This window comes from Homo sapiens, chromosome 22, assembly GCF_000001405.40.
Source record: "Homo sapiens chromosome 22, GRCh38.p14 Primary Assembly".
Lineage (NCBI taxonomy): Eukaryota > Metazoa > Chordata > Mammalia > Primates > Hominidae > Homo > Homo sapiens.
Window position 1 is genome coordinate 49,548,151 of NC_000022.11, and position 27,918 is coordinate 49,576,068.

Sequence of the window (27,918 nt, forward strand, 5' to 3'; positions counted from 1 at the left end):
ACAAGTCCCGCCGCTGTCAGCGCACCTCTGCATTGGGCACTCCCTTCTGTCGGCAGAGTCGTGCTCTGTGGTGCATCTGAAGGTGTCCCGTTTAATTTTTTATTTTAACTGCACCTGTCTTGAATGCGTATCTTTCAAAAAAGGGGAAAAGGAGCTAGAATTGTAGCTATCATTTCTGAGCACGCCCTGGGCTCCCAGAGCCCTGCACGTTTTTCTTTTGTTGAAACCCCCATTGCCGTTCTCTGGAGTGGGCTTGTAATCTCCATTTCTTAGGTGGGAAATGGAGGGTGAGAGGGAAAGTGACACGGTTTCAGAGCTGCAGCATAGCAGGGTGGGGTCGAATCCTGTTTAACTTCATTCCAAATACCAAGCTTTCAACCACTGCCTTCAATATGTGCTTTGTAGGCAGCAGCTTCTATTTACTTACGGCCCCACAGCTGCTCTGCACCCTGACCCAGGATATCCCTGCAACCTATGCAAACTGAGTTCCAGCCCTGCTGCCAAACCCTCCGTGGCCCTGGGAATGAACCCTCATCCTGGCTGCTCTCACCGTGGCCTGTCCAGATGCAGGAGCTCCTCTCTGAATCTGGGGCTACTGGCAGGTGAGTTTCTGCAGGGACCTGCCCCCTGGGCTCTACTGCAGGGGCACAGAGGCACAGCGCCCCCTTCAAGGCACCAAGGTGGCCATTTCTCCCACCCACTACAGGGTCCGCTCCCCGGAGGTCTGGGTGGAGGAGGGAGGAGCAGCGGCTCTCTGCTGCTTTCTCTGTCTACACACCTTGGGCCTCTCAGTGGGACCGTCCACACAGCCCAGGTGGCTCTGAAAGGGAGGTGGGCACGTCCTCTCTCTCCCTCTTCCATCTGTCTCTGTCTCTAGCGCCCTCTACCTGAGCCCTTTGCTTTGTGGGTAGTTAAGAGATCGGGAAATCTCAGAGGAGGAGAGGTCGGGAGGGGACTCACTCTCTGGACCCCCTGTCTGAGTGCTGGTGGCTGGAGCACAGTCCCCTCTGTTGACGTTGCACTGAGGAGCCCTGAGCACTTTCCCCCTTCCCTGCCAGGTGTGCCTTCTCCTCATCTCACCTGGAAAGCACAGAGTTGACGCAGGACTCCGACTGCCCCCTTACAACTCTGCAGGCCACGTGCAGACAGCACAGCCATTGGTGAGGGCCGTGTGTCTGAAGATGGAGAGGAGGGGTCTTGAGGACGGAGCTCTGGGGGCCAATGGGGCCCTTGCTCTTCCTCCTGAGTGGTCCATGGTGCGCAAAGCACCCGATGGACATCATTGCATTGATGCTGATGTTGGAGATGGTGACAGACAAGGCCTCGCATAGGCAGAGGTGGCTTCACAGCAGCGGGCAAGTGGGGGACCCTGCCTGATGCAGAGTCGGGGGCGGCTTCCTGCAGACCGGGCTTCCTTGGCCCATTCCCCCTCTCCCTTTTTCAAATCTCAGAACTCCAGAGCGGTGCTCTCCTCCAAAAAGAGGGCTGCTCCCCTTAAGGCACTCGCTCTGACTTTGCCATCCTCCAGCTGACCTGAGTGAGCTCAGCAGCCGGAGTTCGTGTGGCTCTGTCACCAGCCAGCATGTCTGAAATCACTGCAGAGATGCTGCTGAGGGAACACGGACAGCGTTCTGAGCCGATAGTTTCCAAAATGCTGGATTCCGGCCAGTTCTTCTGTTTAATATGCAGCACCTTATAATTAAAGCCATAGACTGCCAGACTGAGTGCCAGCCAGGAAGGGGAAGAGAGACACAGTGGGCTTCACCATTTCCCCAGTAGACGTCAGCATGGAGGAAGTAGGGGATGCCTCAGGACCCACTTTGGTTGAACCCTGCACTGGGAACTGCTAGCCTCCTCTGAGCCTTCCTGGGGCACCTGTTCCACGGCAGGGAGTGAGCTGAGGATGGGATTGAGACTCACAGAACAGTGGAGGCCATGGCAGCCTACCCAGAAAGCACAAGGCAGGGCTCCAGGTGACGAGAGAGGGAAGGAGAGGCCACTATGGGCCCAGGTCCTGGATGCTTCTGACCCTGGGCCAGAAAGGGCTGCTGCGGAGAAGTAGAACTAAAGCCAGATCCTGCAGGGTAAATAGGAGTGGCCCAGATCAAGGGCAGAGGGCAGGGTGTGTGCAGAGCGCCAGGCATGGAGCCCATGGCCATGGCCGCCTTTTGCCCTTGGATGGTCTGGTCTTCCTCAGGTCCTCCTCATCAGCTCTGGGCCCCACCTGCTCCTCCTGTGCCTGGCCAGGCCTCTGCCTCTTCTTATCCCCATCTGTGCTTGTCCTAGACAGTTCCTTCATTTGTGATTCTAAATATTCCTCTTGAGCTTCTGACACTCACAACTTCTTAATCCACACATGCACTTGAATATTTAAAGGATATCTCCAATTTAGATGACCAAGCCACAAACAAAGTCCCCTGCCCTTGCCTGACACGCTCTCCCCAAGCTTTCTGCGTCTCCCTCAGCAGCCCCGTCCTCTCCCAGTGCTCAGCCCACAGTGCATCCCTCTGTCCTCACCTCACACTCCACCTCCAGGCTCAGTCTTTCTGAGTCCTTCCACACTTGCTTTTCTGTCTGGTTGGAACTTTCTGTCTCCTACCCCAGTACCATCACACGAGTTTGTCCTCCACATCCTGCAGATCTGGACCCTGCATCATCGTCTCCTCAGCAGCACCCTCACTGTCACCCTGGCCAGAGCAGCCCCTACGGCGTGCTCTCCCGGGACTTCATCATCCTTAGCGGCTGCTGCACAGCTCACCATCCCAAAACTAAGAGGCTTCATGCAACAGCTCACAGTTATGTGGGCCAACACCGAGGCTGAGTTCAGCCGGGCGGTTCTTCTGGCCTTTGCTGTGGTTCACACGGACTTGCACCCCCAGCTGGTTATCCCCATACACAAGGCAGAGAGAAGCAGAGGGATGAGACCTCCAATGTGCACCCTGTCCTTCCTCTTTGCTGTTGGCCAAAGTGGCCACAGGCCCCCAGTCCCAAGGGGTAGGGAGAGTGACTCCCCCTGCTGGCAGAGGCTGCAGTATCACCTCACGGGGTGCAGGCTCTGGGAGGGGATGACCATCATCACTTTGCAAGCAATTGACTGCTGAATTCCTAATGTTATCTGGTTTGGCTATTTATGTGTCTCCTCTCTGTCTCTTCCCCAGTGGATCATAAGCTCCATGAGGGCAAAGACTACATCTCAGTCATCGCCCTTGCCTCAGGGAAGATGCTAAAATAATAATAGTTGTCATTAGCTGCCTGGGGGCGCTTCAGTTCCGCTCTTCCAGGCTGCCCCAGCTGGGCTGGTGCGCAGAAGGGGTTCCCATGGTGCAGGGACCACCCATGTGGATCCAGCTCTCAGGGCAAAGAAGCAGGGACCCTCCCTCCTTGCCAGTGCCCAGGCCCCAGGGAGCCTCCCTGACGACAGCTTCAGCACAGGCCCTCGGGGATGACTCCTGAGCCTCACAGGGTGCCTGCTGTGCTGCCATGAAGCTGCCGCAGTGGCCTTCCTCTGCTCACGTCAGGTTTTCGGGAGGAGAAGGCAGAGCTGGCAGGCTTGGGTGATCACAGCAATGACAGAGGCCAGGGATGGGCTGTGGCCACCCAGCGCCTGCGAGCAGGGTCACCGCTTCCCTTATCCTGCGTCTGAATCTCTGATAGGATGGAAAGCTGGGTGCTGAGCCTTCCCTCTGCCTCAGAGGGTCCCAGGACACCATGCAGGGATGCACCATGCTCAGTAATGGTGCTCACTGCTCTGAAACCTGTGAACAGACCCACATCCAGGATGCACAGCATGGGGGAGCACTGGGTCTCCCCAGGCCACTCTCCCCCTCATAAGCCCTGCTCGTCTGAGTGGGACTCTGTGCAGACTTGGGGCTCAGGGTCTCCCAGAAGACAGCCTCAGCCGGGCACCAGGCCCCGGGATGCCCGGGAAGAGCACCTGCCATGCATCCTGACAGCTGGGGCTCTCACAGCCACCCAGAGGACACCAGCTTGGAGGGCACATTTGCAACTCTCGGGGGCTCATTCCGTTTCACATAATTTAGTTTACATTCAAAATATAAAGTCTCCTTTTGTGTGTATTAAGGGACAGATCTCTGCTTGCGCTCACTTGGAGTGAGGACAGAGGCCCTGCTGTGCCCAGCCCCTTCCGCCCGAGCTCACTGAGGAGCATGGCCAGACTCACTGGCTGCTGCAATTGCCTGCACCACGCAGGCCCCGTCTCCACCTCCCCCGTGAATGTCACAAAGTAATTAGCTTGTGAAGCTATTTCCCTATGACATTATGGATCAAAAGAAAGTGACAGGTAACCAGATGTGCTGACGGGGAGGCCCCTGCCCCGGGGAACTCCTGCCTGTCTGCTTCCAGGAGAGGGTAACACAGGAGCCCGGCAGGAGGCTCTGCAGACAGGATGGCACCCCACAAGGATACTTTAATTGTGTGCAGCTTGGGGGATGCCAGGGAAACACAGCACACCCACCTTCTTTCATTTATTTTTCTGCCCAAGAACCAGTAAACACGGAGTTACTCCTGTACTGAGCTGAGTAAAATAATCTGACTGAGAGGATGCGCTGACCTCAGTTTCGACAACTGCGTTTGGTACCAAGCCCTGCAAGGGCTCCACGGAGCAGCTTTGGGGGAGACCTGCCTGCAGGAACATGTACCCCACGGAGCAGCTTTGGGGGAGACCTGCCTGCAGGAACATGTACCCCACGGAGCAGCTTTGGGGGAGACCTGCCTGCAGGAACATGTACCCCACGGAGCAGCTTTGGGGGAGACCTGCCTGCAGGAACATGTACCCCACGGAGCAGCTTTGGGGGAGACCTGCCTGCAGGAACATGTACCTCACGGAGCAGCTTTGGGGGAGACCTGCCTGCAGGAACATGTACCCCACGGAGCAGCTTTGGGGGAGACCTGCCTGCAGGAACATGTACCCCACCCGACACGTCCTGGGAGCCTCGTCTGAGGTACAAACAACAGGAAAGCACTGATGCATTTTTCAAAATCCAGCAGGAGGGAACGGTGGGCTGTGGATGCTGGCTGGGAAAGCTCCTCGGGCACAGCCCTGTGGGCAGGGAGGGGAGGAGGGCTCAGCCCCCACACAGGCCGCCTGGCACCAGGAGTCACAGGCCTCAGCCGTGGGATGTCCCCAGAGTTCCAACCGCCACTCTTGCAGAAGCAGCCCAGCAGGGTGAGGGTGGGGCCACATGGGGCTCAGCTGCAGGAGGGACGCCAGGTCCTGCACTTCTCACCCGCAGTGACCTTGGGCAGGGCATTCATTCCTTGGGAGAAATTTCCTCGTTGGTGAAATGAAATCACTGCTTGGCTTCAGCCACATAATGTTAGGCACGCTAACTGCAGCCTAGGCAACCTCAGACCCTCAGGAAATCAACAGAGGGGTGCCAGCTCCCTGCACAGGTCCCGGCCTAACTCGGGATGCCACTCAGGGCCCTCGTCTTCCCATCCTGTGGCTCTGTCTTCACAAGGCCCCAGAGGTGCTCTTGTCCCTTCCCTTTCAGTCCCTCAGCCAGTGGGCAGCACACGGCCACCCAAACACAAGAGGCCAGGACCATGGACAGCAGGGAGCACAGAGCCCAGGCCTCCGTGATCCTAGGAACACGCAGCATCCGGGAACACGGAAAGTAAAGATGGAGACATGGGGCGGGAGGAAGCTAAGCAGGGACACAGTACCCCCTTGCATCACGGAAATGCCTGGCCAGAGCGACCTGCCGCAAGAAGCCAGCCCAGCTGCTCCTGTCCCTGAAATGTCCGGAGAGAGGGCCAGCAGGGAGGCTGGCGCCTGGGCCAAGAGAGGGGCTACTCAGTTCTTCCAGAACATTCCAGTGTGGCCCATGGACACCGGCCTTCTGATGTCCAGAGAGGGGCTACTCAGTTCCTCCAGAACATTCCAGTGTGGCCCATGGACGCCGGCCTTCTGGGGTCCATTCTGTCCTGTGTCACTTCAGTTGATGAGCTGCTTGAGACCAGAACTGCCCAAATCCAGAACCGCCCACTACCTTCTGTGAGGCTGTGGCCAGAAAGCAAGCCAGACTTCTGAAGCTGCCTGGGCCTGTCGGGACCCAGGAGAATCTGGCCGTGAAGGAGAATAAAGGAGGAAGCCAGGCCTGGCACAGGGACAGGGTGGGGACCCAGTGAGATCTCCAAGGAGGAAGCCAGGGCTCCTACACTGGGGCTGCTGTTCTCCCGGAGGAACTCCACCCAAGGAGAGTCTGGGATTATCATGAGAGACAGGACCGCATCTGTGCACAGTGCAGTACGTCAGGTGCTGGCCAGGGGCCGGGGGCCTCAGGGAGGAGAGTCACCCACCAGGCCAACTAGGACAGACGAAACGTGAGTGCCCCTACGGGAGAAAGCAAAGCTGAGACAGCATCGCGAGCTGAGGGAGAAACTGACAGACGGCAGTTCACCAAAACCCAAAAACTGGTCATTCTCTGGCCTTTAACAAACCAAAGTATATTTCTCCCTCTGAAATAAGAAACACAGGACAATTATTAAGTTCCAAAAGTACGTTTCATTTTGGAGGCATGTTGTTGGTCCCCTTTGGAATCATGAACCCCTGTGAGCGAAACACCTCCCACCATTGATTCTGACAGGGTACGGCGGGCAGTTCCCGGCCCAGGTAGAGGCAGACAGGTGCAGAGCCACAGGGCCACCACTGCAGAGTCTGGCCTTCTCTCCAGCCCCGGGTGCACCCACGGTTATCAGGGACCCAGCACTGCCTCCCTGCACGCACATGGCTCTCCAGGCCACCACTGCAGAGTCCGGCCTTCTCTCCAGCCCCGGGTGCACCCACGGTGATCAGGGACCCGGTGCTGCCTCCCTGCACCCACCCGGCTCTCCACAGCAGCAAACGGGGTACATTAGGGTGGACGGGATGTGGGGCCAGGGCCCTGCTAGGGCTGGGGTGGACTGCGGAGGGCCGGCACCAAGCAGTTCCAGGTGTGGAGGGCGGCCCTATGTCAGCTGTTAGACACGCAGGGGAGGCACCTCAGATGGCTACAGGTTTGATTGTGTCCCCACAAAAATCCATATGTTGAAGTCCTAACCCCCAACACTGCCGAAGATGACCTTATTTGGAAATAGAGTCATCAAAGACATCATTGGCTACATTAAGATAAGGTTATACTAGAGTAGGGGGACACCTAGCTTATTATGACTGGTGTCCTTATAAAAAGAAGGAAACTGGACACATAAAGGGAGAATGCCATAGGAGGACGGAGGCGGAGATCGGGGTGAAGCTTCTCTAAGCCACGGAGAGCGGCCTAGAACCGACCCTTCCCTCACAGCCCTCAGAGGACAGCCTGGAACCGACCCTTCCCTCACAGCCCTCGGAGGACGGCCTGGAATCCACTCTTCCCTCACAGCCCTCGGAGGGCAGCCTGGAACCGACCCTTCCCTCACAGCCCTCGGAGGGCGGCCTGGAACCGACCCTTCCCTCACAGCCCTCGGAGTGCGACCTGGAACCAACCCTTCCCTCACAGCTCTTGGAGGGAACCCACCCTGCCCACACCTTGACCTCGGACAGGTGGCCTCTAGAGACCTGTGCAGTGAGTTCCTGCTCCCAGCCTGTGGTCCTTCCATGTGGAAGCAAAGCAAACTCCTCCAGGCACATTCACCGCCATTGGCATGGGCCTCCGACACTGACCAGGGCCTCCCGTCACCTCTGCCCCTGCCCACCACTCCCCAGCCCAGGTACCATGCTGTAAAAACAGCCTCAAAAAGAACATGAGGTCCACAGCTCCTCCAGGAGACTGGGCCAGCCCCAAGCACATCCAGAGAGGTGGCTCCTCTGACTGGAGGCTCACGCCAAAGCCACACAGAGACAGCTGCCATTCTCGCTCGCTCATGCTTCCCCCGAGCCTAAACCCTGACCAGCCAGCTCTATACATTTACATCTTTTTCTGGCCTCACACACTGTCTAGAATGTCCAGTCGAATGTTGAGAAGTCGTGGTCAAAGCAGAAAGCCCAGCTTTATCCCCAGTCTTAGTGGGTACGTGTTTGCTGTTTCACGTTAAGATACTGGCTGGCAGTGGGGCACAGTGACTCACGCCTGTAATCCCAGCACTTTGGGAGGCCAAGGTGGGTGGATCACAAGGTCAAAGGATTGAGACCGTCCTGGCCAACATGGTGAAACCCCATCTCTACTAAAAATACAGAAATTAGCTGCGTGTGGTGGCGGACACCTGTAGTCCCAGCTACTCGGGAGGCTGAGACCGGAGAATCGCTTGAACGTGGGAGCAGAGGTTGCAGTGAGCCGAGATCGCACCATTGCACTCCAGCCTGGGTGACAGAACGAGACTCTATCTCAAAAAAAAAAAAAAAAAAAAAGATACTGGCTGGAGATTTTTCACAGATGCCTCTCATCGGATCCGGAAAGTTTCCTACTATTCCCAGCTTTCTGATGTTTTTTAAAATCACAAATGGGTGTCAACATGTGTCAAGTCCTTTTTCTGCCTCTATTGAGGTCATCATAAGGGGGTTATTTTCTCCTTTACTTTGTTACTATGGAGAGTGACACTGATTGATTTTGAAGGTTAAACCGAGCTTACTTTCCTGAGAGAAACCCCACTTGGTCATAATGTAATAATGTGTAGATATTACTAGAATTGGATCTCATTGGTTAATATTTTATTAAGCATTTCTGCCTCTGAGTTCATAAGGGATATTGGTCTGAAGTTTGCTTTTCTTATAATGTGCTTCTCAGTTTTGGTGTTAATGTTGTACTGGCCTCATAGAGTTGGGAAGTGGTCCCTTCATTTTCTGAAAGAGGTTTTATACCCTGGACGTTATTTCTTCCTTAAATATTTGATAGAATTTACGGCAAAGTCATCTGAGACCGTACGTTTCCTTATGGGTAGCTTTGTGTTTGTTTTTTGTAAGTCCAATATTTTTCGTTGGTACAGGGCTATTTCAGTTTTATGTTTTTTCTTGTGACAGTTTTGATAATTGTGTTTTTCAAAGCGTCTGTCCTTCACATCTAAGTTGCAGGATTAATGAGGATAGACTTGTCTGTGACATTTCTTTTAATGCAGAGATGCCGTTTATTCTTGTTATTGGAATTTTTGTTTCCTCTTTTATCTCCTTGGTCCGTCTTACCAGTAATTTATTTACCAGATCAATCTTTAAAAAAACAAAAAAAACTCTCAACATTGTCAATTTCCTTTTTGTCTGATTTTTATTTTATTGATCTCTTCTTCATCATCTTCTTTTTTCTACTTTAGTGTAATTCCTCTTCTTTGTCTAGCTTTTTAAGATGGAAGTTTAGATCACTTAATTTACGCCCTTCTTCTCTTCTAAAACAGGCATTTTAGAGCCATCAATTTTCCTCCAGCCACTATTTTAGTTGCATACCACAAACATTGATATGTCCTGTTTTATGAGAGTTCAAAATACTTTCTGATTCTACCTTGATCCACAGGTTATTTACAAATATGTTCATTAATTTGAAAATGTTTGGTGATTTTCTTATTATAGTTTATTATTAGCAATAATTAATTTGATGTTATTGTGCTTTGAAACTTATTCAGATTTATTTAACAGCCCATGATACGCTCTTAGTAAATGTTCTGTATGCACTTGAAAAACAATGTGTCCCCCATAGTTCCTGGCTGTAATGTTCTCCTAACATCAATTATACTGTTGTTCAAATCTTGGATATACGTCCCCCATAGTTCCTGGCTGTAATGTTCTCCTAACATCAATTATACTGTTGTTCAAATCTTGGATATACGTCCCCCATAGTTCCTGGCTGTAATGTTCTCGTAACATCAATTATACTGTTATTCAAATCTTGGATATACGTCCCCCAGAGTTCCTGGCTGTACTAACATCAATTATACTGTTGTTCAAATCTTGGATATACGTCCCCCATAGTTCCTGGCTGTAATGTTCTCCTAACATCAATTATACTGTTGTTCAAATCTTGGATATACGTCCCCCATAGTTCCTGGCTGTAATGTTCTCCTAACATCAATTATACTGTTATTCAAATCTTGGATATACGTCCCCCATAGTTCCTGGCTGTAATGTTCTCCTAACATCAATTATACTGTTGTTCAAATCTTGGATATACGTCCCCCATAGTTCCTGGCTGTAATGTTCTCGTAACATCAATTATACTGTTATTCAAATCTTGGATATACGTCCCCCATAGTTCCTGGCTGTACTAACATCAATTATACTGTTGTTCAAATCTTGGATATACGTCCCCCATAGTTCCTGGCTGTAATGTTCTCCTAATATCAATTATACTGTTGTTCAAATCTTGGATATACTTACTAAGTTGTATATCAGTATGTTCTATTAATTAGTAAGACAAGGTGCAGAAATCAACCATAATTGTAGATTTGTCTATTTCTACCCTTAGTTCTGCCAATTTTTGCTTCATGTATTTTAAAGTTCTGTTATGAGGTACCTACACATTTAGAGCTATTTTGTCTTGCTGATGAATTGACCATTTATCATTATGAAATATTACTCTTTATCTCTGGTAATGTTCCTTGTCTTAAAGGCTACTTTGGTATTAATGTAGTGGTTCCAGCTTTCTCATCCTTAATATTTGCATGCTGTGTCTTTGGCTATCCCTTTACTTCCAACTGTTGGCATCTTCAGAGTTAAAATGCAGATCCTGAGAAAATCAGACAATTGGGTCTTGTTTTGTTTTATAGTCTGATAATCTTTGCCTTTTGTGTGTAATATTTAGTCCATTTATATCTACTGTGATTATTTTTGGGGTTGGTTTTAAAAGTGTCATCTTGGCATTTGTTTTCTATTTGTCTTATTTGGTTATTTTGCTCTTTGCTTTTCTTTTCTTGCCTTTTTGGGATTAAGTACATTTAATATCCCATATTATTTCCTCTGTTGACTTTATAGCCATGCCTCTTTGTGTTATTATTTTAGTTCTTCACTTAGAGTCGCTATTCCCAATAAACTTTCTCTGATAATTGGGCTATTCAATACAGCCACTTAATAGTGAAATGTGACTAGTGCAACTGAAGAATTGAGCTTTGAATATTTAATTTTAACTTAATATTTAATTTTAATTTAATTTTAACTTAGCTATTGGCTAGTCACTACCCTACAAAGTTTCAGAGATTACAGCACTTTTATCTGATAAAAATCTACCTTCAAATGATTTTATACTACTTCATAACACAAAATCCTTGCAACAGTAAAATTCCATTTTATCCCTCCCAAGCTTTTATGTTCATGTAATTATATATTTTAATTCTACAAATGTCATAAATCTTTCAATGCATTATTGCTTTTTCTATAAACTGTCAAATATTGTTTAAAAAAAGTGTGGCAGGACGGAGAGACAGAACTTTAAGGGAGTCTTTGCATTTATTTATAACTTACTCTTTATTTTGCTCTTCATTCATCCATGAACATTCAAAAGCTTCCATGTGAGATCATTTTCCTTCAGCTTAAAAAATGTGCAGATCTGTGGAAATTACACAGAGACCCAGGCAGAAAATGTAGGACTTTTGGAATGACAAAGACATCACATTAAGAAAAGGAGCACTAGCTGTGATCAAAAAGATGTTTTTAAAATTTCCTGACACTGTAAATTGAAAATATTTACTCCCTTTCAGGCAAAATTAATAAATAAGACCAATATTTAGGCATAAATGGTTGGCTTATTTTATTCCAAGAATATAAAGAATATTTTAATCTCACAGACAAAACAAACATGTTATTTCCAGAGAAAGAAAAATCTCAAGGTTATGAATTAATTTCTCTATGGCAATTGACAAGGCAGCTACAGCTACCAAGTTTGAGGATGATATCTGTGGTCTCTGAATTCTTAACCTCACAAAAGTGAATCACCCATGAATGAAATACAGGTGTATGAGCATGCAGACGCCATCTACTCACATACCCTCTTAGAAAAATATACTCAAAGACATTTCTATTGATTTCAGACCTCAAGTATCTTTGCAAACACTGATGTTAAAAGCGGAATTGGCTTACAGATTATTCAAAGTTATAACTATGCGAACGTCAAATACTCTAATCATAAAATATAACATTAAAACCGTAAGTATATAGTAAACCAATATAACCCCGAAATAAGTCCAGAATGTTCAGAATTGACAAAGCATAGTTTGAGTTCTCTAATGTAGTATCAGAAGTACCCACGGAGCAGCTCATGTGCATGGTCCAATGAATAGAGTGTAGCGTGGTTAACAGGAAAGAAGCGGTGACCAGGAGAGAATCCACAAATTTGTATCCAACCGAGTTACAGAGCATTCCCTCAATACCCAGCACAGTACTAGGTGTCATGGAGGTCACAAGAGTCTCAGGGTTTGTGGGTCCAGGGTGTAGAGAGATCCACAGAAAATGTGAATCAGGAAAGTCATTGCAAAGATCCACTCAATGAACAAATGTGTATGAATTAACCATGTGTCAGGGACATTGCTAGCCCTGGGATGCTGGGGCTCTGCTGTGGTTTGAATGCTTTCTTCCCACAGTTCAGGGGTTGAAGTGTAATAGCCAGTGTGATGGTATTACGAAGCGAGACCTTTAAGAGTTGATTAGACCATGAGGACTTTTCCCTCATGAATGATATTAAGACCTTTATTCAAGAGGCTTCGCCTGTAATCCGAGCACTTTGGGAGGATGAGGTGGGCAGATCACCTGAGGTCGGGAGTTCAAGACCAGACTGACCAACATGGAGAAACACCTCTCTACTGAAAATACAAAAATTAGCCAGGCGTGGTGGTGCATGCCTGTAATCCCAGCTACTCGGGGGGCTGAGGCAGGAGAATTGCTTGAAGCCAGGAGGTGGAGGTTGCGGTGAGCCAAGATCACGCCATTGCACTCCAGCCTAGGCAACAATAGTGAAACTCCATCTCAAAAAAAAAAAAAAAAATGCTTCATGCAGCATTCATCCCTTTTGTTCTTCCACCCACTGCCAAGTGAGGACATAGCATTTGTCCTCTCTGGAGGACACAGCAACAAGCTATCACCTTGGAGACCAAGAGAGTGGCCCTCACCAGACAAGTACACCTGCTGGCTCCTTGATCTTGGACTTCCCAACCTCCAGAACTGTGAGAAATAAAACCCTGTTCATTGTAAATTACCCAGTCTCAGGTATTTCGTTATAGCAGAACAAAACAGACTAAGACGGCTTGATATTCTTACGTGGAAGACAGATTTCTAAGTCAAGTAAACAAAATAAAGGTAACCAGTTAGATCTTACTAAGGCGATAGCTGAGACAGACAGACAATATAGACGGGAGGGCTGCTGTGTGTCTGGTACCTAGGGAAGGCTTCTTGGAGGTGATGATGTGCACACTGAGACCCAACAAGAAAACTGCATGAAAAGCCCAGGAGAAGATAGTGCAGGAGAGGGCAGGAGGGGCTGAAAGAAGCCAGTGTGACTGGAGCACAGCAAGCCAGAGGGAAGACTGCACCCGGTGACATCAGAGGTCACGGCAAGAGACAGAGTGTGCCCAGATCATGAAGTGGGAGAGACAGGAACAGGGGGTGAGGGCTGTAAAGGAAACACTTCTGAAAGGATGAAATTAGCATTTGACACACTTAAGAATTTCTTAACTTAGACAACACCAAATTTGGGGACAGAAAAACTTGCAGTTGTTGAAAATGCCTACCTTGATATTAATTCTCCATTTACAACTTAAACCTAAAGATGTGAGTTGAAAGGCTATAATATTATTAGCTGCTGGGCTGACATCTTGATCCATGATATTTTAGCCCAGAGCAGAAATTTCACTGCTGCATTATAAAGTCTTTAAAAATCGTGTTTCTCATAGATGTACTTGACAGTAGCTGCAAAATTTCCACAAGCATAATTATACTGCCAAGACTCATGGTGAGGGCATTTTAAAGCCAGGAAGTAGTTATTTTCTATGTTGCTATTTTCAATTCTCTTTAAATAAATGTTTACATGTCTCATAAAACCAGCTTCCATGCAAATGTTCATGCTTTTAGCTGCAGAAGATATACCACCAGCGACAAGGATTCCGGCAGTGGGCGCCAGGTCTCCGCTAGGTCAAAGCCGGGGTGATCTAGTCCACGGTTGAACTCTTACCCTGTTTGCTGTCAGCATCAGTTGTGGTCTTGGTAGTGCTTCTGTGCCCAGGAAGTCCAGATATCTGGGGTGGTATGTCCATAATGAGGAAGTGAGTTGCTCAAATGTGTGTCTGGACCAATGAGGGGAACTAAAATTCTCCCTCAACATCCTACAAGAGTTGGAAATGTCTTTAATCTGATCTTAAATGGAATTGAAATTTATTGGGTCTCATTCATGTGGAATTGGGAGCCCATTATTTTGAAGTTTGGGGAAGTATTTATGTCTCTCCTCTGTGGCCCCTACAGATCTCCAGTTTCCTCAAAGAAATCTGTTTCCTACTGTCCATAATATCATTTCTGGCATCATCACTGTCATCTCCATCACTTTGATTATGGTGCCACTATCACCATCATCATCATCATCATCATCATCATTTCTATCATAATCATCATCATAGCTCACTGCCATCACCATCACCACCACCATCACCATTATCTCCACCATCACCGTCATCTCCACTATTATTCCATCATCTCTATCATCACTATGATTATCACCACAGTTGCCACCATCATCATCACCATCACCATTATCTCCACTATCACCATCATTTCCACTGTTGTTTCATCTCCATCATCACTATGATTATCACCAGTTTTCACCATCACCATCATCATCATCACCATGTCTGCCATAATCATCATCATCATAGTTACTACCATCACCATCATCTCCACTGTTATTCCATCATCTCCATCATCACTATGATTGTCACCACAGTTGCCATCATCATCATCACCATGTCTACCATAATCATCATCATAGTTACCACCATCACCATCACCACCACCATCACCATTATCTCCACCATCACCATCATCTCCACCGTTTTTCCATCATCTCCATCATCACCGTATCACCACAGTTGCCATCATCACCACCATCATCATCTCCGTCATGCCTATCATCATCATCATCCCCACCATCACTGTCATCATCACCACCATCACTATATTATCATTACCACCATCTCTATCATTATTACCATTATCGCCATCTCTATCATGCCTATCATCGTCATAGTCACCACCACTACCACCATCATCACCCCAATCAAGATTATCATCACCATCACCCTCATTTCCACCATCATCATCGCCATCTCCATTATCATCACTATCAATGCCCTCATAGCCTTCCTCTTTCTCACCATTGTATGATGATAATAATAGTAATAATGGCTCCTCTTATTAGAGATCTTGCTGGGAGCTTTCTCACATGATATCATTTAACCTGCACACAGGGCACAGTTGGGATGCTGGAGAATGAGGATTAGTAGGTGTGTTAGTTCATTCTTGCATTGCTATAAATATCTGAGACTGGGTAATTTATAAGAAAAGAGATTTAATTGGCTCACAGTTTCTACAGGCTGTACAGGAAGCATAGCAGTATCTGCTTGTGGGGAGGCCTCAGGGAGCTTTGACTCGTGGAAGAAGGTGAAGTAGGAGCAGGTGCCTCACATGGCGAAAGCAGAAACAAGGAAGAGAGGGGGAGGAGGGAGGGGCCACACACTTTGAAACGACCACACCTCATATGAACACAGAGCAAGGACTCACTCAGCAGCAAGGGGATGGTGCTGAGCCATTTGTGAGGGATCCGCCCCCATGATCCAAATGTCTCCCACCAGGCCTCACCTCTCCAACACTGGGGATTACAGTTCAACGTGAGATTTGGGCAGGGGCAGATATCCAAACTCTATCCGTCGGATAACACGTATGAGGTACCTGGGACACAGTAGCCTCAGCTATAAATGCTTTTGTTATAAGTCCCTCAGCCTGGGGAGACTTGGAAGCTAAAATTATGAAGGAAATCAAGCATGCCTTCTGCCAGTTTCTCCCTCATTTAAAGCACACACCATTCCCTTGGCTGTCCACTAATTTATTCACTAGTCACGGGCTAGCAGTTACTAAGCGCTAGACACAGTTCTGCCGGACACTCCTGCCCACCCCCGTTTTGTATGTTTGCTCCCCCAGCAAGAAGCTTCAAGCTGGAGGGCATCTTAAAGTTCAGCTCTCCCAACTCAGTTTTGCCAAAGCTGAAAAATGTGGGGACACGGGAACATGAGCCATCTCTGGCAGAGACAGCCCAGCACACAAGACTGCTCACCAACCCCCAGCTGTGTGTGGTCTCCCCCTGGCTCCAGAGTCCCACCTCCATGGAGGTCCCTCAGGGTCTCAGTCATCATCTGGCTTCTCTTCAGTTCAACCCCACAGATTGATCGGGCACCGTTGAGAGCAACATGCATGCCAAGTTCCGTCAGAGGTAGAGGGTAAGAGATGCAAGGTACGGTCCTGCCCTGAGGACTTTTATAATTTGGTTGGTGAAACAAGACATCCCTGCATGAAAATTTAACCACCACAAGAGAACCACAGGAGAAGCCACAGGGCAGGCTGTGAATTTGTGCTGGGCGGTGGCAGCATCCACAGCCACCATGTGACAGTGACCCTGGGTAAATTGTCATTTATCCTGGCCCCGATTCAGGAGCCCACCAACTCACTTCCTAGCAAGCCCCCCTCGCCCTGTCACTGCCCCTACATGCGGGCCACACACCGCTCTCCTTTCTTGTTTCACTCGGGGACCCGAGATTCTTAACGCCAGGCTCCGTCTTCACCATGGAAGTGCACACGGCGAGGAAGTGAGAGAAGATGGTGGCACTCGGAGGGGCTGGGCAGGCGCGATCCTCCCAGGCCCTGTCCCTCAGCATCATCCATGGGACCACCTCCCCTGTTTCTCCTGCTGCCTGCCCAGAGTGGTGAAGACCCCATGTGAACAAGGAGCAAGTCGGATGAGGACACACTGGTGGGGGGCGGGGACAGTGGCCCCGGGAAGTCCTAACCCCACAGTGGCCTATGTGTGCGAGAGGACAGCACCATAGCCCAGCAGCATCCAGGCCCCTGTACAATGCATGGCCCAACTGTGGAAGCCTGTGGTGAGGTCGGGAGGGCATGGCCACCTCTGCACCAGGGCTCCATTTCTCCCAGGTCCCCCATGCGCCTGTGTCCCAGCCACCATCAGTGCTGGGATCCCCCTAGGAGAGCCCAGGATCCAGGTCCTGCAGCCTGTGGCACGTCCCCTCCAGAGGGAAAGCAGGGGCCACAATGGACAAGGTGCCCGGCGCAGAGGCCCGGTCGACGCAGCAACTGAGAGTGGCTCTGTGAGCTGTAGGTGGTCTGCAGCGGAGGGTCCCTGGGCTGAGAAGCGTCTCTGAGCTGATGCACATGCTGGCAGGGGGAGCAAAGCCAGTCCAGTAGGGAACAGGCATACTCTTCACTGCTTCTCGGAGTGGGATCCATCAGACACTTATTAGGCACCAACTGTGTATCCAGTGCTACTCTAGGCACTGAGGACTTGGAGCTGCCCAGGCAGGAACCCCAGCGTTCACATGGGGACAGGCAGGTGACGCTGGTCTCCCTGGGGTAGAGGTAACAGGGCGAGGCCCAAGGCCCTCCCTTCCTCCTCTACAGAGGGGTCCTGGGGAGGAGAGGTCGGGACCACACAAAGGCCATAACTGCAGATCTGCCCCAGGACAGAAAAGCACAAATGCTGGGCAGGAAAATCATTCCTGGTCACAGTGGGGATACCAGCCGCCAAGCCACCTCCAAGACAGCCTTCTCATGAGGCCTTGAGGCCACCAGGAGCGTCGGAAAAGAGCGTTGAGGTCACTGTGACCAACATGAGCTGATAAATGTTCTTCTTCCTTAAATTTTATGGACTACATTCTCCTTTAAGCTCTGAGAAATTATTTAAAGTTTCAATAAAAAAATAAGCTCCTGAGGTCAAAAGTGAAGCATGGCAAGCTAATAAATTGGGATTGTAAAACTGCCCTGGATCCCCAGTGCCGCAGAGAGACATGGCGAGCAGGTGGCGCGGCCAGAACTCATTATGAATGAAACCCTCCACGGAGGAGCCGGGAGTGTGCTGCTGGCTAGCACTTCACCCTTATGGCCCTCAGCCCCTACTGAGGCACCTGCTGTGTTGTGGGCACGAAGGCTAGTGAGGCTGCCCGGCTGAGGCAGGGGACCAAGTTCAGAGGAGCCCCCAGTGCCTCCCGACCAGCAGCACATGCAGAAGTCACTCACAGGGGCCCTGGGTGCACAGCCACACCTGCACGCAGGCATGTGGATGCACTACAGGCAAAGGCCTCCCTGTGTCTTTTTTCCTTTGGTGCAAACCCAGCCCTGTAAGGAGCTCCCAGGACCCCACATCCCACTGCTGCACGGTGACCCCCGAGTCACCGTGTGCAGCGTCAAGACACACCCCACGCAGATGGCCGCCACCCCTCCCTGAGCACTCCAGCCAGTTGTTTGGGGGATAGACGGAGCAATAAAGCAGTTTTTGCACAAATAAAAATATACGTCGGCACCTGTGTGTTTTCAAACTCAGACAACCTAGTTTTGGAGGCCTGGGGGAGTGGCTGGCACCACCCACATCCCACGAGCAGTGTGGCCCAGGGGCTGGTCATGAGGGATAACAGACGTGGGGAGAAGCCCTGAGCACAGGGTCGCTGGTGCTAATGCCCCAGGCTGGTCATAGTCCCGCCCTCTGCAGTGGCAAAGCGTGGGCAGGTGGGTCTGTTGCTCAAGGTCCCCGTCTCCTTATCGGTAAACTGCAGGCAATAATGGTAAGCCCTGCTTTCCGGGGCTGCAGCCCACACAAGGCATATAAAGCCCGAGCCAGCGCCCATCAGGGGCTGAATGCATGCCAGTTCCCAGGCTCTATTACCAGGAATAAACAGCCTAGGAGCCAGTGCCCCTCCAGCAGCTCACGGTGGAGTAGGAGCCGGGAAACGCATGTGTGTGATGTGTTCATGTCATTCCATTTTTCTCTGTCCTTATTCTTCCCAAAGAAAAGTAACTGTGCAGCCACAGGCGCCCCTCACCAGTGAACTCGCAGGCTCAGTCTCTGAGCCTCGTATGCCTGGCACCATGTTCCCGGAGCTTTGCTGGACTCTACTCACCTCCCAAGCCCCTGTGCCTTTGGAGGCAGCAGGTGTCAACCATTCAACACTCACGCTCATTTCCAGGCATGCAGAGCCTTTGCGGGCCACCTGTTTGGAGTTGGCTAAAAAGGATTCGTGACAATTTTTTTTGTTGTTTTTTTTAAGATAGAGTCTCGCTCTATTGCCCAGGCTGGAGTCCAGTGGTGCAATCTCAGCTCACTGCAACCTCCACCTCCCAGGTTCAAGCTATTCTCCTGCCTCAGCCTCCCAAGTAGCTGGGACTACAGGCATGCACCAGGTAATTTTTTTGCATTTTTAGTAGAGACAGGGTTTCACCATGTTGGTCAGGCTGGTCTCGAACTCGTGACCTCAAATGATCCACCTGCCTCGGTCTCCTAAAATGCTGGGATTATAGGCGTGAGCCATCGCACCCGGCCAACAATTTGTAATAGTAAATTTTAAAATGTATTTCAATGTGTCATAAGAGTAGCAGCCCACAGCACCCTTAGCTGGTTTTACCTTTCCCCAAAGGATGCCTGCAGCTGGTTGGACACTGAGCAATTTGAACCGTAGGTAGGATTTTACGGGATTTTCTTTTCTATTTCTACTAAACTAGACAAGCCCACTGCAGTGTTTCGGTCCTCAGGACGGGGAGGCTGTGTACTGGAGAGCTCTGTCAGATCACGGACACAGTGACAGCGAAATCATGGACACCGACAGCCAGTGTCACTCCACGCCTGATCCTTGTCCGGTGCCCAAGGATGGACAAAGACTGTGGCCGTGGAAAGCTGAAGGGCTCGGCACAGAGCTGCCTGTTTCCGCCATGGGACCCAAAGCTCACGAGCCATCTTCCCACGCCCCTTGCTCTGTCAGCCACATCTCACCAGCCACCAGGTTCTGATGCATCTCCCTCTCCCACGCTCAGGCCACTTCCTCCCCGTCCAGGCAGCAGCCTGGTTGATGTCACCACTGCGTCCTGGGTTGTGCTGGCAGCCTTCTGACCCATCAGGATGGTGATGGGCTGCTTCCCTGGCCTGCCTATGGTCCTCATGCTAGTCAGCTTGCACACACCCACCTCTGAGTCTGCACCCTCCTGTCTGTTCCCCTCAATGGCTGGAGGCCCCCTCCTTCCCCAGCAGAATGAGCCCAGCACTCCCTGCAGCAGTGGGGCCGTACGGCGCCATCCAACTCTGATCCGTGTTCAGATTCCAACAGCCTCAGCCGCAAAGCACACAGAAGCCTGTCCTGGGCCCAGGGCAGACTCCCAGTGGACAGGAGAGTTCTGGGCCCCGTGTCCCCTTAACCCTGTCCCAGGCCCAGGGCCAACTCCCAGTGGACAGGAGAGTTCTGGGCCCTGTGTCCCCCTTAACCCTGTCCCAGGCCCAGGGCCGACTCCCAGCGGACAGGAGAGTTCTGGGCCCCGTGTCCCCTTAACCCTGTCCCAGGCCCAGGGCCAACTCCCGGCAGACAGGAGAGCTCTGGGCACCACGTCCCCTCAACCCTGTGCCTCTGCCCTTCTCGAGGGTTTTGTGCCACAGGCATCGGAGTCCTTCCCAGGGCCCAGCTGTCGACTCCATCTGCTTCCGTGCCAGCCTGCCGGGGGTCCAGTCATCCACATCAGCGCTCTCTGCAGGATGCGACAACTCCCTGCAGCCGCTTCCCTCTGTGTGGCCTTGCAGAGAGGTCACTGCATGGGCCACGGCCAAAGAATTTCTCCTCTGTGCAGAGGACATTTGTCTCATGCTGAGGGTGCTTCAGACTCTTCTGGGCTTCAAAGAAGCAACGTCCAGGAGCCACAGCTTCCGGCCCTCACCTTCAGCCTGCCTCCCCCTAGAGAACAGCATCCTGAGGCCCCGGCTCCTCCTGCACCTCAGCTCTAACTCAGGCCGTGGTGGACCAGGAGAGTTCAGCTTTCCATGCCCGTGAGCACAGCCTTCTGTGCTCAAAACCAATCACGTCTCAGCCAAAGCCTGAACTCCTGGGAGACACTGACTCTTAGAGCCTATGGGACCTGGTTCCTGGCCAGCTCCCCATGCCAACCCTGCAGGCCCCTCCACCCACTGCCCTCTGAACGCCCCATGGGTCCTGAGTCTCTCCGGCCCAAACGCTCCCATCCTCCCCTGGAGTGTAAGTTAGTTTTGCTTCCAGGTTTTCCTCCCTGAAGTTTTCTGTGACCCCCGACATGTAGGGCTCAGGCCGACTTGGCTGGTGTGGTAGACGCAGGCCGGCAGATGCTCACCTGCACAGATGGTTGCCGGGGGACCGTGCAGGTCTCGCCAGGCTGAAATCCAGGTGTTGGCCAGGGCTGGGGCTGCATCTAAAGCTTGGGGTCCCCTCGGAAGCTCGCTCGGAGCACTGGCGGAATTTGGTTCCCTGTGGCTACAGGACCAAGGCCCTGGCTTCCGGAGGCCCTCCCTCCCCACGGCATGGCTGTCGGCCTCTTCCAGGCTGGCAGGGGAAGGAAGCGTCTCCAGGGCACTCCCTGCTCATAAGTGTTTTCACCTGATGGGGTCAGGCCCACCCAGGACGATCTGCCAGGACTGCAGGCTGGAGGTTTCTGACGCGCGGGAACAGCGTGAACGCAAACGCGTGCTGTGCACCTGGCCCAGCGGCCCCGCTCAGAACAGGCAGAGCAGGCAGAGCAGGCAGGGGGCCAGGAATCAGCCTTGCAGGCCCGAGTGCCCGGGGTCCTGGAAAGACGGCAAGAGGGCCTCAGACTCCATCCGCAGGGAGCAGCAGAAACGCGTTTGGTGTAGGAAGCGGCATCACAGCCGCAGCGAGGCATCCCTCCAGGGCTGCTCTGCAGGGGACGAGGCACCCAGCCCTGCCCCTTAGCCCCCAGGTCCCCCATGCAGCCGCTCAGGGCTCCCCACACCACCACGTTTCCGGGAGATGCTGTTTGAAAACCTCCTCTGTGGCTACACCCCAACGCCGATCGTGCAATTTTCCAAGGGGAGTCAGGGACATCAGGTGCTTACTGAGCACACCTGAGGGCCACATCCCCTGCATTTCCTAAGCTCCCACAAGGGACCCCTCACTCGTGCAGCCTCTCCGAGCACCCCTGACTCTGGGGAGCAGCGCAGGGTGACCCTCTCTCCTGGTGGCTGCTGAAAACTGGGCTTGGCTCAGTGTAACCATGAGGCCCAGAGCAGAGGCAGGACAGCCAAACCTCTCTCTGCAAGGGTACGTGGGCCGAGATGTTCTGTCTCCCTGCTGCTCGGAGAGCTTCCTCCAAATGCACATGTCAGCCGCCTTTGGGAAGCCCCAGCATGGTGGAGTTGCAGGCCTTGGAATGACATCTTGAAATGGGGAATAAGGTCACTAAGGCAGGAATTCCAAGTTCTGCTTGGCCTGACTGGCCCCCACACCCCCATGGCCACCACCCCCCCCACCAGCCTCTGGCTTCCTGCAAGCACTTGAGCCCTGTGACCAGGAGGACTTCCCGCAGCAGAGACCCTCATCCCCTCACACCTCACAGGCCACCCTCCTACCTGCCTGCCTCACCCAAGCGTCTATGGAAGCCGCAAAGAGCCGGCCCCTTCCCTCCATGTCCCGCAGGCACCCATGCTGAATGCAGTGACATCTGCAGTTCACTGACAGTTACCATGATGACGGTGATTTCAAAACCCGCTACTTGAGCTTGTTAACCCTTTCCAACAGACCCAGGGAGCTGAGCAGCGAACACGGACGTGGGTTCTCAAATCTGAACGGTCAGGACTGCTCTTTCTTCAGTTGCTGGTGGCAAAGGAAAAGTGACTCGGGACTTCACACACCCCGGGCTCTGGCCCAAGACCCGCCGTGGAGCCACTAGTTCCCAGAACGCCTCCTCGATGCGAAAGCAGGGTTTTCACCTCTACATTTTTTTTTTTTTTTGAGACGGAGTCTTGCTCTGTCACCCAGGCTGGAGTGCAGTGGCACAATCTCGGCTCACGGCAAGCTCCACCTCCCGGGTTCAAGCCATTCTCCTGCCTCAGCCTCCCCAGTAGCTGGGACTACAGGCGCCCACCACCATACCTAATTTTTTTTTTTTTTTTGTATTTTTAGTAGAGACAGGGTTTCACCGTGTTAGCCAGGATGGTCTCAATCTCCTGACCTCGTGATCCGCCTGCCTCGGCCTCCCAAAGTGCTATGATTACAGGCGTGAGCCACCGCGCCTGGCTGAAAGCAGGGTTTTTAAAAAGCAGGAGGGTGGATGGTGCAGACCCTGACAGGAAGGGACTTAGAAACGCAAACTGCAGGCCCTGGAGTGTGCCCGACGCGCAGGCAGCTTGTTTTCACAGGTGCAAAGGTTCACAATCTGCCTCCCACGTAAGCCTAACCCTGCGGGCAAGCGCTGGGCTCCACTGGGGACCCCAAGGCAGGTGGCTGAGGTCAGGGGAACAGGGAAGCCCGTGTGAATCAGAGGCGCCAGGCCTTCCGATGGAGGCCAGTTTCACGATTGATCCAGAGCTGTAGCCCCAGTGGCTCTTCTTGGAGACCCAGGAGAGCATTCTGGAACCTCCCTGGGTCATCCCAGATGAAACTCAGGCCAGGAGAATCAAAGACATTTAAGGCCTGTTCCCCACCGCCGGCCCTTCCTGCCCTCGATACTGCTGTCATGTGGGGATGAGTGCCCAGAGGTGAGTGGGGCGGGACTCAGGCCGCAAGCTGAGCGCAGTCACACAGGAGGGACACAGTCTGTGTCCCAGGGGCATCTTTGAGCCCTCAACCAATGCTGGGACCACCCATCCCCTAAAATCCCACCATGAAGACAATACATACCCTAGTGGCACAAACCACTGAAAATCAGACTCCACCAGCTACAGCCGAAAGCATGTGCTGATTTTCTGCAATTCTTCACTTTTTCTTTAGTGTACAGCCTTACTTGGGGGGTGGGGAATGGAAGTAATTTTTAATTCTTAATTTATAAAATGTATTTATTAAATAATGTTGTGCCCATGAAAACTGGGAAAGCAATATGAATAGGCAACAAAGTAAAAAAGAAATACAAGTGGCTGATAAGGTACAGAAAGATTCAACCCTACCCATAACTAAAGAACTAAACATTTAAACTATGCATTCTACTTAATCCATTTTATTGGTTAAGAAAAAAATTTCATGAACAAACCCTCATTTTAAAAGACATGTTACATCAGGACATCTGTAGACACAGGAGGGGCTGTCTCTGGAGAGGGACATTTACTTCCTGTTGAGCTATCCCAGCCCAGGACCCCAGGTCACCAGCTCACAGGGAAGAGCTTTTCCTTCCCTTCCCTGGCACCAGCATTGTGATGGGTAATTGTGTCAACTTGGCTGGGCCACAGTGCCCAGATATTTGGTCAAGCACTAATTCTGGTTCTCATGTTTCTGGGAGGGTGCTTTTTGGCTGAGAGTAACATTTCAATCAGTGGACTTTGGGGAAGCAGGTGGCTCTCCAAAATGCAGGTGGGCCTCATTCAATCAGTTGAAGGTCTTAAGAAAACCAAGATGGACCTCCCCAAGCAAGAAGGAATTCTGCTAGCAGAGGCCCTGGGACTCCAACTGCAGCTCTCCTTAGGTCTCCAGGCTGCCACCTGCCTTGCAGATTTCAGACTCCACAATTGTATGAGGAAATTCCTTAAAATACATAAATATACATAGATGGATGGAAAGATGGATGGATGGATGGTTGATTGGGTGGGTGGGTGGATGGATGGATGGATGGGTGGATGGATGGGTGGGTGAATGGGTGGGTGGATGGATGGATGGTTGAATGGGTGGGTGGGTGGATGGATGGATGGATGGATGGTTGGGTGAATGGGTGGGTGAATGGGTGGGTGGATGGGTGGATGGATGGATGGATGGATGGATGGACAGATGGGTGAATGGGTGGCTGGGTGGGTGGATGGATGGATGGATGGATGAATGGATGGATTGGATGGATGGATGCATGGATGCATGGATGGATGGATGGATGGATGGATGGATGGATGGATGGATGGATGGATAGATGAATAAATGATGGTTATCCCTTCCTTTGCTGGCTTTCGAGCCTCCGGGAGGGAGCAGTTGGGTGTCTGAGGGGCCCAGGTCCTGAGGCAGGAGGCAGAGCAAGCAGACACTGCACCCAGCGTGCTGTCGCCTGGCGGTGTGGACCCCTGTGCACTGGTGTGTGCATGGATCACGGGGCAGCTCTCTCTGGAGCCCGGTGGGAGGAGCAGGGGCAGGATGTGCTGGGCCTTCTGCTGAGAAGGGTGGGTGGTGTTGAGGCAGAAGGAAGAGCTCTGTGCCGCTAGCTTGGGACCTGCTAGTGTGTGATTCTGAAAGCCGGAGAGAGAGGCCAGGCTCACCTGGGACATGGAGGCAAGGCCCAGGTGTCAGCAAGGCCCAGAGTGGGCAGGGAGAGAGCCTCTGCCCATCCATGCAGAGAGTGGGGTGGGTGGGCCAGGCCTCCTCGGGAGAGCCCTGTAAGGTGGAGGAGCCCCAGGAGCTGGGAGGGGACCCAGGGCCTGGGTAGGGGGGGGCAGCATGTCCAAAGGTTACTTTAGAAAGTGGCTCTTGACCTGGCGTGATGGCTCACACCTATAATCCTAGCACTTTAGGAGGCCGAGGCGGGCAGATTGCTTGAGACCAGAAGTTCTAGACCAGCCTGGGCAACATAGGGAGACCTCATCTCTACAAACAAAAAAAAAATTAGCCGGGCGTGGTCTCACATGCCTGTAATCCCAGCTACTCAGGAGGCTGAGGCAGAAGAATCACTTGAACCTGGGAGGTGGAGGTTGCAGTGAGCTAAGATCATGCCACTGCACTCCAGCCTGGGCGACAAAACGAAACTCCATCCAAACGAACAAAAAAACCCAAAAGTGGCTCTTGGCTTCAGAAGAAGAGAGACACCCACAGATTGTCCTGAGCCTTGTCTTTTCCAGGAGTGAAGTGAAGGGGACAGAAAACGTCCAAGCATTTTGGGCAGATAAAAAAAAGTCTCTTTCTAAGCTCAGCCACAACATCATCATGGACCTTTGCAGAGAAAACTGGAGAGTGATGGCTCCCGGAGCACCCGAGACGCTCCCCAGACGCCGGAGCACCCACGGCCAGCGGGTGGACACGGTGTCCACATGGTGCACACTCTTGCCCTTGAGCCTGTGGGAGGGAAGCCAGGAAGATATGGACGGAGCAAGGGGAGCACGGGAGCCTCGGGGCCTGCGGGGGGCCAGGCAGCAGCTGCCCTCACAGTTGCACGGTACAGTTTGCAGAACACACCCTCCTGCCCTGTGGAAGCTTCCAGGCTCCCGGGCAGGTCGCTGAAGGATCCTCTTCCTGGCCCCTGGAGTCCACAGGTGCGACATCCCGTCCCGACATGGGTGCCTGCCCCAGCCACTCAGTCGTCACCTGTGAGCACCTGAAAACCAGGCCACAGCCCAGACTCACAAGGAGCCACGGGCCTGGGAGATTTATTAAACATTCGCACGTAATTTTCCATTAACATTTCCTATTTTGGCATCTTAAAGAGTGAAAGTTGATTTCGGTTCAACATCCTGTGGGGAAATTAGTTCATTTTGCTAACGCATCTTAATAATTACAGTGACATCAAGGTTAATTGCTTAATCTGGATTGCCACAGTGCAGGCCGCCGAATTCCCCACGCAATCTGTGCTATAATTAGTACCGGGGCATCCAGATTTAGAAGGCTCTTTCACCGGAACAGCGGAATCAGGCAAGGTGATCGATGGATGTGACCAAGAGGACACTTCGCGCACAGGTCTGGGGTCGGGCTCTGTGAGGCCATCAGCCAGGGAATGTGTGGGGTGAGTGTGTCTCCCCAGACCACAGGAAGTGGCCAGCCTGCCCCGTGGGTCTGCTGCCCACGCAGGGTGACCAGTGCAAATGAAACTCTCCCAAACTTTCTGCTGCGGGCTCATCTCCCCGCAGCCAGGACAGCAATGGCCCGTGCCAGGGGTCCAGGACACCCAGCTGACCACGGCTGCAGCCTGCGTGGCAGGGCCCAAGATTGCTGTGAAATGGAGCCTCAGGCAGTGCCTCGGAGTCACGTCAAGGACTGTCATGGGATCAGGGCAGAAGGGAGTGCCCTGGGAGGGAGTTGGCCAGTGATGGGGATGAACAGCTGCCAGGGGCACCAAGACTCCGCTCAGCCAGGCTGTGGTGTAAAGGGGGACTCGGACTCACCTTCAGAGGCAAAGGCCTGGATGAAGGTGAACAGAGCAGATTCTGGGGACACGCTCATCCCAGAGGCCTGGAAGGTCGTTCTGGGAAGAGCCGGGAGGCGCCTCCCCTTGTTCCCGGAAGGTCATCCTGGGAAGAGCCGGGAGGCGCCTCCCCTTATTCCCGGAAGGTCGTCCTGGGAAGAGCCTGGAGGCGCCTCCCCTTGTTCCCGGAAGGTCATCCTGGGAAGAGCCGGGAGGCGCCTCCCCTTGTGCCCGGAAGGTCATCCTGGGAAGAGCCAGGAGGCGCCTCCCCTTGTGCCCAGGGCAGGCAACAGATCCGGTTCTCAGGCTGCACACTTGGTGGCCCAAGGAAAAGGAAACTCCTGAAATGTTGGCTTAGTCGTTTCCGGGCTAACTCGCTCATCTCCGGGTTCAAACAATCCACGTCTGGGGTGAGACGCAGCCTTCAGGTTTGTTGCTCATCCCTTCTCCCTCCTGTCACGGGGAAGCATCCCCGGCCCCGCTCCTGTCCAGGCAGCAAGGACTGTGCTGAGGGCTGCGCTCTTTCCCCAGGACCAGGCCTGTTGGGGACTCGCCCCCGGGACATCCCGAGGACAGGCAGCACAGTGAGGACCCTGAAGCCTCCGGCCACAGCCTCCCTCCATCCCGCCCCACGCAGCGCCACGTGCCCCGGGAGCACAGCTAGGGTCGCATTGGGGTTGTTTTGGTAAAATGTAACTGTACTT

The 27,918-nt window shown here is 52.1% G+C and overlaps 2 long non-coding RNA genes across 3 annotated transcripts in view, besides 2 other annotated features; both read right to left on the minus strand.

The window, feature by feature from the left end:
- The window catches only part of MIR3667HG (MIR3667 host gene), a 242,996-nt gene that overhangs the window by 133,627 nt on the left and 81,451 nt on the right, over window positions 1-27,918 (minus strand). The gene's annotated exons all lie outside the window — the stretch shown is intronic.
- Window positions 22,230-23,092: an enhancer, noted in NCBI's record as "H3K4me1 hESC enhancer chr22:49964028-49964890 (GRCh37/hg19 assembly coordinates)". NCBI's record gives its function as "activates a minimal SCP1, AML or CMV promoter by ChIP-STARR-seq in naive H9 embryonic stem cells {active_cell/tissue: H9 hESC(naive)}" and the evidence as "EXISTENCE:reporter gene assay evidence [ECO:0000049][PMID:30033119]".
- Window positions 22,746-22,909: a silencer, noted in NCBI's record as "fragment chr22:49964544-49964707 (GRCh37/hg19 assembly coordinates)". NCBI's record gives its function as "represses an EF-1alpha promoter that drives an FKBP-Casp9 reporter gene in an ReSE screen in HepG2 liver carcinoma cells and phorbol 12-myristate 13-acetate-treated (for megakaryocytic differentiation) K562 erythroleukemia cells {active_cell/tissue: HepG2 | K562(+PMA)}" and the evidence as "EXISTENCE:reporter gene assay evidence [ECO:0000049][PMID:32094911]".
- Window positions 23,952-27,886, minus strand: LOC124905144 (uncharacterized). Its single transcript, XR_007068149.1, has 2 exons — window positions 27,195-27,886; window positions 23,952-26,410 (listed from the first exon to the last, which is right to left on the minus strand). It is a non-coding gene; the product is annotated as an uncharacterized LOC124905144 (long non-coding RNA).